Source organism: Homo sapiens, chromosome 5 (assembly GCF_000001405.40).
Source record: "Homo sapiens chromosome 5, GRCh38.p14 Primary Assembly".
Lineage (NCBI taxonomy): Eukaryota > Metazoa > Chordata > Mammalia > Primates > Hominidae > Homo > Homo sapiens.
The window spans coordinates 102,745,399-102,758,236 of record NC_000005.10 but is presented as its reverse complement, the minus strand read 5'-3'; the positions used below and the strand labels follow the sequence as shown (position 1 = coordinate 102,758,236).

General features: G+C 44.5%; 1 protein-coding gene across 43 annotated transcripts in view, besides 5 other annotated features; it reads right to left on the bottom strand.

Moving 5' to 3' along the window:
* Positions 1 to 3,454, bottom strand: part of PAM (peptidylglycine alpha-amidating monooxygenase) — a 276,323-nt gene extending 272,869 nt beyond the window's left edge. For 27 of the 43 annotated variants that reach the window (XM_024446066.2, NM_001319943.1, XM_024446069.2 and 24 more), the window contains exon 1: positions 2,889 to 3,454. The gene's annotated coding sequence lies outside the window, so the exon portion shown is untranslated. The remainder of the gene's footprint in view (positions 1 to 2,888) is intronic. The other 16 variants (NR_157231.1, NM_001364590.2, NM_001364583.2 and 13 more) reach the window with 1 other exon arrangement.
* Positions 1,870 to 2,370: an enhancer, noted in NCBI's record as "H3K27ac hESC enhancer chr5:102091571-102092071 (GRCh37/hg19 assembly coordinates)". NCBI's record gives its function as "activates a minimal SCP1, AML or CMV promoter by ChIP-STARR-seq in primed H9 embryonic stem cells {active_cell/tissue: H9 hESC(primed)}" and the evidence as "EXISTENCE:reporter gene assay evidence [ECO:0000049][PMID:30033119]".
* Positions 2,209 to 2,298: an enhancer, noted in NCBI's record as "active region_22855". NCBI's record gives its function as "activates an Ori minimal core promoter by ATAC-STARR-seq in GM12878 lymphoblastoid cells {active_cell/tissue: GM12878}" and the evidence as "EXISTENCE:reporter gene assay evidence [ECO:0000049][PMID:35858748]".
* Positions 2,689 to 3,238: a silencer, noted in NCBI's record as "silent region_16208". NCBI's record gives its function as "represses an Ori minimal core promoter by ATAC-STARR-seq in GM12878 lymphoblastoid cells {active_cell/tissue: GM12878}" and the evidence as "EXISTENCE:reporter gene assay evidence [ECO:0000049][PMID:35858748]".
* Positions 3,378 to 3,903: an enhancer, noted in NCBI's record as "H3K4me1 hESC enhancer chr5:102090038-102090563 (GRCh37/hg19 assembly coordinates)". NCBI's record gives its function as "activates a minimal SCP1, AML or CMV promoter by ChIP-STARR-seq in naive H9 embryonic stem cells {active_cell/tissue: H9 hESC(naive)}" and the evidence as "EXISTENCE:reporter gene assay evidence [ECO:0000049][PMID:30033119]".
* Positions 8,099 to 8,665: an enhancer, noted in NCBI's record as "NANOG hESC enhancer chr5:102085276-102085842 (GRCh37/hg19 assembly coordinates)". NCBI's record gives its function as "activates a minimal SCP1, AML or CMV promoter by ChIP-STARR-seq in naive H9 embryonic stem cells {active_cell/tissue: H9 hESC(naive)}" and the evidence as "EXISTENCE:reporter gene assay evidence [ECO:0000049][PMID:30033119]".

Genomic DNA, 12,838 nt, shown 5'->3' with positions numbered 1-12,838 from the left:
AATTCTTCCTAGGAGGAGGAAAAGAATCAGAGATGTCACTGAGTCACACAAAATACAACCTAGACAGAAAGTCAAGATCCCTGGTCAATCTTTTCCAGGTGGAATTCTTGCTCATTCTTTGCCCCAAGAAAAAAAAAAAAAAAAAAAAAAAAAAAAAAAAAAACAAAATTCTAAGTCTTTTTTTTTTTTTTTTTTGAGACAGGGCCTCTCTCTGTGGCCCAAGTTGGAGTGTGGTGGCATGATCACAGCTCACTATAGCCTCAACCTCCCAGTTTCAAGAGATCCTCCCTCCTCAGCCTCTTGAGTAGCTGGGACTACCGGCGTGCACCACCACACCTGGCTTTTTTTTTCTTTTAATATTTTTTGTAGAGAGAAGGTCTCACTATGTTGCTGGTTTCAAACTCCTGAACTCAAGCAATACTCCCGCCTCAGCCTCTCAAAGTGTTGGGATTACAGGCATGAGCCACCACACTCAGTCTCACCAAGTCTCGTAACTTTTAAAGTCAAATTTCCAGAGTCACTTCAGGACCCACCAGGCCTTAAGGTCCAGCTTATTAAAAATCTTACATTAAATCTCTGTATATTTTTTCTAGGCATTATAATTTCCTTCCTCAAGGAGTTGAGAAAAAAACTGTATGTGGGAACCACAACATACAGTTGAAGGAAGTTAGAATTAAAATTTCTATAGCTTTTAACATTTGATTAGCACATCATACATGTGTAGAATGTTTTCCTAAGCTTTCATTCTAAAAACACAGAATTCATTTTATTTCCAAGTGCACCTTGATGAAGTAGGAGCACATGGCATTTTATTTTAGAAAGCAATGTCTTAACAAACTTGTTATTTCTTCCAATTATGCAAACTCACCAAATGATTTTTTATCTATTTATTTATTTAGTTTTATCTTTTTTTGAGAGAGTCTCACTCTGTCACCAGGGCTGGAGTGTGTGGAGTGATCTCAGCTCACTGAAACCTCCACCTCCCAGGTTCAAGCGATTCTCCTGCCTCAGTCTCCCAAGTAGCTGGGATTACAGGTGCCTGCCACTATGCCCAAGTAATTTTTTGTATTTTTAGTAGAGATGGGATTTCACCATGTCGGCCAGGCTGGTACGGAACTTCTGACCTTGTGATTTGCCCGCCTCGGCCTCCCAAAGTGCTGGGATTACAGGCGTGAGCCACCGCAGCCGGCCAAATGATGATCTTAAAGGGCCTTTGATAATGCATTCTTGACCTCATTCTACTTGCCATGTATAGTCATTAGAAGACTGTTCATATAAAAATATGAAATAAAACTACATAGTCTTTAAGTTACCTTGGAAGGCCCTTCAGGACAAGGAACATACTCTATATCTTTATATCTTTAAAGCATATAGCAGAGTGCATCGCGGAATGAAAATGCCTATTAAGTCAGGAATGCAGGAACGACAGGGCTTACCATTTAATATCAATTCTAAAGCTGATTATTTATTTTTGAGACAGGGTCTTGCTCTGTCACCGAGGCTGGAGTGCAGTGGTATAAACACAGTTCACTGCAGCCCTGACTTCCTGTAAAGCTGATTTTTTAGGCCATTTACTTGCTTTATAAAGTAACTAGAATGGCATGAACTATGCTTTTTTGTGCCTGTGATTATAAACTGAAAATTTACAAACAATATGTCACATGTTATTTGAGCTAAATGTCTGATTTTACTAAAATGAAAGTATCCTTCCTGGATTATTAGAATTAGCAGTAAATTTAAGTTTGCACCTAGAAGAGAAAAGCGATTGTAAAGAATGTAAAACATCTGAAGCAAACAAAGTCCAATAAGATCTTCCTTCTACTTGAATTTCTATGACCACAAAGGCACAGGATGTAAGGTCCATAGCTTTGTACACAGGGATTGGTGGGGACGACACGATTTCAACTCTGAACCCCAATGACCAGCTCCAGGAACACATGCCTTTTAGCCCCGCAAAGCTACTGACCAAATCACCCAGAGAGATAATCACATCTCAGCCAAAGGACCTGAACTCAGACGATCAGAACACAGGACCTGCCATCAGGCAGCTGCACGAGACAAGAGACCGTGCTCAAAATCACGTAATACCCTAAGTCATCCCAAGGGAGCCCCACAACTACCCTCAGCGGCAGGCAGAGCTGACGCATATTTTGCAGATGACAACATACAGGTTCCGATGGGGCGGGTCCCAAGGCCACAGAGCTGGGAAGGTGACTGAACCTAGACTTAACTAGTATCCCAAGTGGTGGATACTTCCCATTCTGCCTTGGAGATCGCCCTTCGCCCGCGTATTACATTCGGAGGCTGGCAAAACGGCAGGAAGAGAGCAAAGCTGGGCAAGGACGGGAAAGAAAGAGGGGAAGGAATTTCCACTGCTTCCCGGCACTCGCCCCCACTCCACACCCCAGGTTGCTACTCCGCGGCGGCCTCTACTTCCCCAAACTAGACTGAAGGGCGGGCGGAGAACCGAGGAGGCTTTCTAGGCGTCACGGAGAGTTCTCCAAGTTGGGGGCAGAAAAGGCGAATGAACAAATTGTACCCCCTAGGGAGAGGGCACAAGGAGAAGTGCGGAGGTGAGAAGGACCGGAGGGGAGGACGACCCCTCACAAACTGGCCAGGGACTTAATAATGGTGATGAAGGGTCGTGAGAGAGGTTTGGGAAATGCGAGAATAGCTCAGTCCCCAAAATCCTCCCTGGCCGCATCGCTGGATCCCCGCCCCATCCCCCCACCCCCGACCCGGGCAGCCCGGGAGAAAAAGCAACAACCTCCTGGGGCACCAGGAATTGGTGGCAGCAGGATCCCGAGCCCAGGCCCCCTTCCGCGCCCCCACCCTCACCCTTGCCCTGACCGCCTCGCAGTGGCGGCAGCAGCGGCAACAACACCAACCTGCGCGACCACGGGCTCTGTCCGGGACGGAAGCCGGAGCCTGCGGGCGGCGGAGCGGCGGGCGGAGTTAGTTGGAGGCTCCGGCTCCCTGGGCGGGGACAGGCTGAGCACGCGGAGGCAGCGGCGGTGGCGGGGGCTCCCTCTCCTCGGCGTGCGCCGGGCCCAGCCGGGTCCGCCGCTCGCCCTCGACTCCTGGGGCAGGTCTCAGTCCCTCCCCGGGGGCGGCTCCCGGGCCAGCCCCGCGCTCGCCTCCTCCACGCCGGCGGCCTCTGCTCCGCCCTGCCTCTTTGGGCGCAGGGGGCGCGGAGCTTGGGAAGTGGAGCCCTGGCGAGTCCCCAGCGATTGCGCGCAGCTTCCCGGGGTTTCCCTGCGGGGGTCGCGTGTGCTGGGTGTCTGAACTCACGCGCGGGCCAGAGGTAGCCAAGAGCTGGAACTCTTGCCCAAGTGCCCCGGGGAAGGGAGTGAAGGCCCGGCCTGAAAGTCTCTGACCCTCCCGAGTCTCGTGTCCCTAGAAGCAGCCTTGCGAGGTGGCCACGCCAGCTGCCCTGAGAGAAGCAGAGGAAAATGTCCGACTCTCCCTCCGCCCAGCTTCGCGCCAGAAGAACGTTTCCCGAGAGAAGGAAGGACCCATTGACCCCCAGCCCTTGCTCCAGCCTGGAGACCTGGCTGAGTGCATGGAACTGGAAGGATGGCAGAGTACCGGGGCTGAAAGCCTGGGAAATGTGCTATTTCTATTCACACCACCCCCTTGCCCGGCCCCTGGATTCAGGCCACCTCGCTCAGGTCTGCGCAGTGCTTCCCAGTTCACACCTCCGACCCGAGGAGGGAGGTCGGTATCCCTTTCTTAGCCTGGCTTCCCGCCTCCATCTGCATCCCTTTCTGCTAAACCTTTTTAACCCGCAGAGTGCCCAGCGCGCACACACCGATCACTTCGCCCCTAAACTGCGGGCAGGGAACTCTGGAGCCACCCACATCCCCAGCCTCACCCCAAAGCAAGAGAAAGCAGGGAGCCGCGCGTGGGGTGGTGGGGGCGGGGCTGGAGAGTTCCAGTAGGAAGGTTTTATACCCAAGAGGCTTGATGATGTGCAGTACTGACCCCACACACAAATTGATATGCGTTTAATTGAAGGCAGGTATTTGCCACTGTCTCTCCCTGTCTGCAGGTAACCGCTTGAGTGCGTTCACCTCGCCTCTTCCATCCCCAGCGCCAGCCCAGCCCCCTCTCTTTCTCCCAGAGTCCCATCCTCCTCTCCCTCACCTCTCCCATCCCAGCTCCCTGCAGCGCGGGTCCCGAGCTGCTCCAGATCCCCAGCACCCAGCTCTGGTCTTTCCAGACAACTCCTCCCCTTCAGAATCTGGTGTGGTAGCAGGGAGGTTGTGAGAAGGGACACTGAGGAAGATAAAGAAGGAGAAGCCAGTGGACTGGGAAGAAGGTAGGAAAGTGCGAACCGAAGGGGTACACCGGAGAGGAGCTATGGGAAATGAGGCAAAGCCTTCAGGCTATAGGGGGATTCCCAGAAAGAAAATCATTTTCTCCATAGGGAAACTACCGATGCTCGCTGTAGACCAGTTGGAAAATCTGTTGTACACCCTCCCAACAGAATTCCTAGTGAGCAGTGGCCAGACTGGTCAGGGCCTAGAGCATGTGTCCAGGAACTCCATCCACTTCCCAACCCAAATTCCAAGGCAGGCGGATGACCCTCATTTTGGAAACTTGATTCTGAGAAGGTGCGAGAAGACACCGAGCTGAGTCTGTTTACGGATCCCGGGCTGTTCTTCATCTTTAGGCATCTCCTAAGTCACTTTATCTCTTCCTCCTGGTCTGGGTTGTTAAGGAAAGCAAGCACTTGAGACCCTCCCTCAAATACGTCTCTCCTCTGTGTGTGTGTGTGTGTGTGTGTCACAGAGAGAAAGTTTGTGGTGTGAGAGAGAGAAGAAAATGTGGAGGGGCAGGAGTTCTAGGCTATGGTGTTTTGTTTCTCTTTGTTTTCTTTCTTCAATTCAGTACATTTTTGTGCCAAGATGATTTTCTTGTTCAGTGGTGACTATATTTTTGCCTTAAATGTGGGAGAGTAGTTGGGACAACACTTCTAAATGTAACCTGACGGTAACCTCTCACACCCTCAAGGTCCTGGTGTGTCTGGAATTGGTGAGTTCTTGGTCTCACTGACTTCAAGAATGAAGCCGCGGACCCTCTCTGTGAGTGTTACAGTTCTTAAAGGCAGCATGTCTGGAGTTTGTTCCTTCTGATGTTTGGATGTGTTTGGAGTTTCTTCCTTCTGGTGGGTTCGTGGTCTCACTGGCTCAGGAGTGAAGCTGCAGACCTTCGTGGTGAGTGTTACAGCTCATAAAGGCAGTGTGGACCCAAAAAGTGAGCAGCAGCAAGATTTATTGCAAAGAGCAAAAGAGCAAAGCTTCTCCAGTGTAGAAAGGGACCCCAGCGAGTTGCTACTGGGGCAGCCTGCTTTTAGTCCCTTATCTGGCCCCACGCACATCCTGCTGATTGGTCCATTTTACAGAGAGCTGATTGGTCTGTTTTACAGAGAGCTGATTGGTCCGTTTTGACAGGGTGCTGATTGGTGCGTTTACAATCCCTGAGTTAGACACAAAAGTTCTCCAAGTCCCACTAGATTAGCTAGATACAGAGTGCTGATTAGTGTATTCACAATCTCTTAGCTAGACATAAAGGTTCTCCAAGTCCCCACCAGATCAGCTAGATACAGAGTACTGATTGGTGGATTTACAAACCTTGAGCTAGACACAGGGTGCTGATTGATGCATTTACAAACCTTGAGCTAGACACAGAGTGCTGATTGGTGTATTCACAATCCCTTAGCTAGACATAAAGATTCTCCAGGTCCCCACCAGATTAGCTAGATACAGAGTGCTGATTGGTGCATCCACAAACCCTGAGCTAGACACAGAGTGCTGATGGAGCAGGGGGCAGCGCTAGTCTAGGAGGCTTGGGGAGGTTCGGTAGCGCAGGAGCCCACAGCCTTGGGGGAGGCTCAGGCATGGCGGGCTGCAGGTCCCGAGCCCTGCCCCGCAGGGAGGTAGCTAAGGCCCAGCGAGAAATCGAGTGCAGTGCCAGTGGGCCAGCACTGCTGGGGGACCAGGCGCACCCTCCGCAGCTGCTGGCCCGGGTGCTAAGCCCCTCACTGCCCTGGCGGGCGAGGCCGGCCGGCCACTCCGAGTGTGGGCCCGCCAAGCCCACGCCCACCCGGAACTCTAGCTGGCCTGCAAGCGCCCTGCTCAGCCCTGGTTCCCGCCCTCGCCTCTCCCTCCACACCTCCCTGCAAGCTGAGGGAGCCGGCTCCGACCTCCGCCATTGCAGGAAGGGGCTCCCACAGTGCAGCGGCGGGCTGAAGGGCTCCTCAAGCGCGGCCAGAGTGGGCGCCAAGGCCACGGAGGTGCCCAGAGCAAGCGAGGGCTGCCGGCATGCTGTCACCTCTCACTGGTTGGCACAGCCAATTTTAGCTGTGCTGTCAGACGCCCAGTAGTGCACCTCACCTCAGAGCCTCAGACTTACAGCCTCAAGGCATTCCATTCTGTGTGCAGGCCAGCTTGGGCAGTGGAGCCAACCACCTCCACTTAGGTGAGGAGAAGCCTCCCTTTTCACTCTCCTCAGGGCTCCACCCCACCTGAGGTTGTCTCTGCACTCTGTCATTACAAAACTAGTCCTTAGTGTCCCAGTTTTACTTTCAAAAATACTATATCCAATTTAATTTAAAAAATCTCTTTCTCCGCCCCCCGCTTGTTTCCTCTAATGCTCAAAAGGCTAGGCCATTGAAAGTTCAAGAGGGTAGAAATTTCTCTTTTTCTTCTCATCAAAAGAGAAATAGTCCTTGAAAGAACCTTATTAAACTTATATCCTTTCTGAATATGGTAATCCCTTGGTATTGATTATTTTAATTTTATATTAATGGTATGATCTTACTGCAAAAGGTGACCAGTCAGCTGATGAGGATAAAGGGTCTAGTTTCTTCCTGGAGAAACTCTGACAGCTAAAAGAATGGGAGGGTTTATTTACAGACAGGAGAATTGGTCTCCGTCAGTGTTGCAAAGTAGATGGAGATGGACATTCCTTTGTAAACGTCTCTCTTTTTTCAGTTTTATTTCATAGCAGCCTTGTCCAACTAATACTGCCAGTTCTCCAAGTCAGTTTGCCTCACACAAAAGTGTTAGGGACTTCAGATGCTACTTCCTACTAGTGTTTGCCTTGAAAAAGAGTGACATTTCAAGCAGAAGTGAGAGAGTAAAGGAGGATTCATGGAAAATATTTCCTGTACCCTTTAAGACTTTTCTCATAGTCATTTTATGTAAAGATGGGTCTGATGGACAGAACTTACTCTGAACAACTTGGCAACTGTTCAGGCCTACAGGCTTCTTTGAAAATTAAAAAAAAAACAAATGCACACTTTCTCATTTCCCAGCACTTCAAACATGATCTAAGAGTACAGAAGGTTACATTCAAGTAGCAGAATAAGCTTCAAAATGGTTATATCAAACAGTCAAATTTGCTTATGCATATTCAGAACGACAAGAGAAAATATTAATTTCAATTTAGAAGTCATCAAAAAGCACCTTGTGGGCAATATAATGAATAGCCCCATGTTAAAGTAATACATGTTTGTTCTTTAACAAATAAATTTTCCTCTGAAATATAGACATCTGTCATGGAGTCAATTATCTTGCACAGCATGTGCTGTAAAAGCACATAAAAGCAATAATATACTACATTGCTTATTTGAAATCGATCAGGAATAGGCAGCTCCATGCTGGCATGTCTTTAATTTCATGGTGTTAAGAAAAGACTATAGAAGTATGAAATAGCAAACCCTTTCCTACTGGAGTACTAATTCAATTACCTATCATGATATATATAGGAGGAAAAATTTTCCTCATTAGCTGGCAGAAACACTATGGGACTATTTTCTCGTCTTACTCTGCTAACCCCTGTAGCGAGAGTGTGAACATAAAGTTTCCTTTGAAAACAAAGGGATCAACACACTCTGATCAGCTCCAGGGGTGTGCAGAAGAACAAAGCTAGAAATGATATTCTAAGGACATAAATTATCATTTAAATGAGGTGAACATTTATGAAATTTATGCATCAAACAGATCTCAAGATTTGAAAAGTGGAATAAGAGGTAGTTAGACCAAGTTGAACCTCCTTGATGTAATGCAAATGTGAAATCTCTTTCTCTCTTTTCTCAGGCCAACTCACATTCTCCCCTCTATCACTGCATGATGAACACATAAATAAAACAACAAAATATTTTCCAGAAAGCTCTGCCAGGTTAAGTATACAGAGCCTTCTTGAATATCCCATATTACTTTCTCTTGTGACACTTTAAAATAGATTTGAAAAAAAAAATCTTAAGGGGAATATTTTAATAGCTTCCCGGAGAGTAGAATGTATTATCGTTACAATACAAAGGGTATCATTCATTTTTAATTCCTTGCTCCACAGGTGTTCCCTGCCCAGACTGTGGTTGACACTTAGAGGGCCTAATTATGATTCATATATCCCACATTCCCCAGAAATTGGCCCCTCTAACTTCACACAATGCTGTTATTCAGAGGAGAAAAATACGTTTCAGTACTACTGGCTAGACATAATGATTCTCAATCTTGTCTACATATTAGAATCACCTGGGAAGCTTTAACAATCCTGCCACCTCAGCCCTGCCTCGGACTGGCTTCAGACCCAATAAACAAAACTCTCTGGGGGTGGGGCCCGAGGATAGGTGTTTATTTAATTCCCCAGGTGGTTTTTATGTATAGTCAGGGCAACCATCTGTAGGGTATAAACACTTAGCAAGTAAAACTATTCTTTGTTAAAATACTATTAAATATGAACTACCTACCTATTAGATGCAGTTAAACTTTTTTTTTAATTAAAAAAGTTAATTTGGTTTCACAAGGTAAGTTCTCCATGCCAAGTTATGTTGTCTCTACCTACCTTAGGTTTCTGGCTGTGCTAGCAAGGCTGATTCACAAGGAAAATCCATGACTTTTCAAAAAAAGACACAGCAACATATCCATGACCTACCCTCATTTTGGTGGATCTGTGACTGGAATCAAAGCCATAGATCACTGCAGGAAAATAGACATGGGGGAAATTGAATCTTACAGGTCTTAAATTCCCACAAGTAATCCCCTTGAGCTATTAAGCCATTATCCAATTTCGCAGTTAAAAAACAGATACATGCTATAATTAATTCTTTCTATAAAGTCCAGGGTTTAGAAATAAAATAATTACAAGGACAACCAGGGTCATCAATTTTATGTAGATTCAGCACTAATGAAGAACCAAATATTTGATTCTGAAAAAGGAGTGTTAAAATGCTGCTGGCAGTTTCACACAAGTAGTTAATACACTCAGTATGCTTGTGGAATGAAAATAGCCTAACACAAAGAGAATACATGATAGTTTATATAAATAAGATAATATAAACCATAAAAACTTTGTCCATACATAGTTTAGTATGATGAGATAAGGTGGATTGAGGTGAAGTAGGAAGATACAAGAGGAAAATCTGTTGATAGAAAGTGGATATACTGGAGAAATTGAATAGGCTAATGTTATTTGACTGGACAGTTGAGATTACAAGGTCAAGTGAAGTCTAAGTAAATACTGCTTTTCTCTACTGCCTGATATGAAGAGATTACTAGCAGTCTAAGAACTGGTATGATGGTGATAGAAGCTAGAAAAATCATGGAATCACTACAATTTTCTGGAAATCAATGTCTATGACACTCAAAGCTCCAAAAGCTTTGATTTTTTAAATAAGAAATTTACTTAGTTTTTCACCAGATGGATGAATTTAATTTCCTAATAAAAAGGGAAGAAATCCCTCATATTTTTCAAGTGAAAAATGTACAAAAAGTATTTATGTGTATAAATTAAATTGGAAGGATTGATAGTTTCCTTTAAAATATTTGAGTGGTCTCAATTTTGTGAAATTTAGAAAATGCATTATACTTTTCTGGATTTTCCCAAATAAGCATGTGATACATTTACTGTTGGAAAAAAATGATGAATTTTATGTTCAAAGGGCATAATCTGCCTCCTTTGTCATAATCTATTTCTTTTCAATAACTTGAAAACTGAAAATGAAGTATATTTGCTACACAAATGTAAAACTACACAAATAGTTTTCTTGCTTATCATATTTGTATTCTTTTTTATTTTGCAGCTTTAGATTTGTGTCTCTATTTTAGGTTCATAATAGGATGGCATTGGAGATTTGTTCTCAACAAGAAAAAAAACCCAGATGTACAAAGAATGACATAGACTTTCCAGTCATATTTAGCAGCAACAGAAAACCACATAAGGGTATTGAAATTTTTTGGTTTTAACACAAATAGAAAAAAGCTTTTCAAATTAGCACACGGGAAGTCAGAATACCTGCTTCTCATTATTGTACATTTATTGGTAATAAGCTGTGTGACGTATACATTACTTCTCTCTGGGTGTCAGTTTTTTCATCATACATTGAGGTGTTAGCCTAGAGGACTGCAAGTTTCTTTCAACATAAAATTATTCTATGAGAAAAATAACATAAAAATTATTGCAAGGAAATGCCTTGAGATTAGAGCTCTGTGTTTCAGAAACATTGATGGCTAAAAGAAACAACCATTTTTAAATGTCAGTGTTTTCTTAATGCTTGACCCGCCAGCCATGATGCTGTTTCCTGTTGTGGGAGGTTGTTGTGCCTGGGAGCTATTCACCAGCAGGAGTTTTACTCTTCAAAGATAAGGGTCACAGCCTCCTCAGGAAAGGACACCTGAGAAATTGGCTGCTTGTATGCTTGAAGCAGCTATAGGAAGGGACTTGTCAAAGCATACTCTGGCCATTAGCAACCGGGTTGGTCCCAGAAGCAGAGAAATAAAAGAGAGATGGTCAGTAGGGGAATCATTGTGTGTGGGGGTATGGATGAATGACTCTGTGGACAGCAATAATGAACATCCAAGTTTATATTCCCTGCCTGCATTGTATTCTTTTTCTCATTCCTGTATACTGGTCTTTGCTGAGCTTAGAAGAGCAAAAAGAAAGGTGTGGGTCAGTCCTTGCGAAAGAGATGTAAGAGCTATTTGTTACCAGCCATGGCAGTAGGGAAATGTTGGTGACATGATCTGACTTACACAGGAGCCTGGGGTAGCAGTGCAGAGGGAGAAGCAATAAAGAACACCAGAACTAACTTGTGGAACATGTCATGATCCTTGTGAATTGCCTGGGAAGGGGAATCTGATAAAAGGCAGGTCTTCTTGTCAATCTAACTAGGTGGAAGATTGGATTACTGCGTGAGTATTAAAGGGAAAACACTGGAGGGTGGTATTAGTGAGGGCATTTGGGTTATAGGAGATCTTCTATTTGTTGAATGCCTACTATGTGTATTGTTGAATGCTTATTGTGCTATGCCCCTCACTTATTGCAACTTTCTTTCCAGAAAAAGAAACTGGAGAAATACACTAAATCAAATGGTGGGTTTCATTCATTCCTGGCATGGTTGCTCCATTAATCAATGCTCCATGGTTGCACATTAATAAGCATGTAGCTTTTATTTTCCATTTTAGTTTTTTTTTTTAAATCCATTGTAGCAGTAGATTAATGGCCTCCAAAGATGTCCATGCTCTAATCCTCGGAACCTGTAAATATGTTATCTTTAGTTACCAAATGAAAGAGAGTTTGCAGATGTGATTAAGATTAAGGACCTTGAAATGGGAAGATTATCCTGGATTATCCAGGTGGGCCAAGTCTAATCACATGGGTCCTTCAAAGTAGAAAAAGAAGGCAGAACAGTTGGCCAAAGAGATTCAAAGATGGAAAAGAGGTGGGAGAAATGAGACATGAGGTGGACCAGACTACTATGGCTGGCTTTGAAAATAAAGGGGACCACGAGCCAAGAATTGCAGGTGGGTCTAGAAGCTGAGAATAACTCCAGGCCAACAGCTAGAAAGGAAACAGTTTCCTTAGTTCTACAACTGGAAGAAACAAGTCTGCCGGCAACCTAAGTGAGGAAGGATATGGAAGCACCTCTAGAGCCACCAGAAGGGAACACAGCTCATCAACATTTTGATTTTCGCCTGGAGAGACACACTTTGGACTTCAGATCTACCGAACTGTAAGATAAAAAGTTTGTATTGTTCTAAGGTGCTAGGTATGTTATTTGTTAAAGCAACAATAGAAAAGTAGTATACCCACTACATCTAGTATGAAAGCTAAGACCCATGCCTCTTCACCTTTGGCTCTCAGTACCTTATACAGGATTGACATTTAGTTTGTGCACAGTCAACACTGCAGGAGAAAGGAAGGTAAAAACAGAGGGCAGGAGAGAGGGAGAAAGACCATAAGCCTTCATTTTCTATAAATATTTTTGGAAAAGTGAAAGAGAAATTCTATAACTAGTCAGGGAATCAATACCAGGTATGGAATTAGTGGGACAGAGGAGTGGGATGGAAGACCACCAGGTTGCAGCTCATATTTTGAGAAACTTACTGCATTGTACTTCTGAGTGGATAAATAGACGCTAGCATGCCTTAGTAGTTCATGCCTGCTATCCATCTACCAGGCCACCCTTTGCCAAAAAGCCTAAGAAAAGATTATTAGAATTGTTACTCTTTCATTCCAAATCCAAGTAATAGTTTTAGAGCATAATTGATTTGGAGCGTTTATCCTCTGCACTAGTATTGCCACTTCAAAATTGACTCTTGCAATAATCTTATCCAAATGATTGAAACATGCATCTGACCACCCATGCATTCCCTTATGTGTCCACAGTTATAATTCTAGGTCAAGTCTTTATTATTTGTTTTAAACATTTTAACTGGTGAAATATATCACAACTACTAAAGGGTATATAAAAGTACCTATGTTATATAAATATATATGTTAAATATATAGTATATATTGTGTATATTTATATTAAATATAGTGTATATTA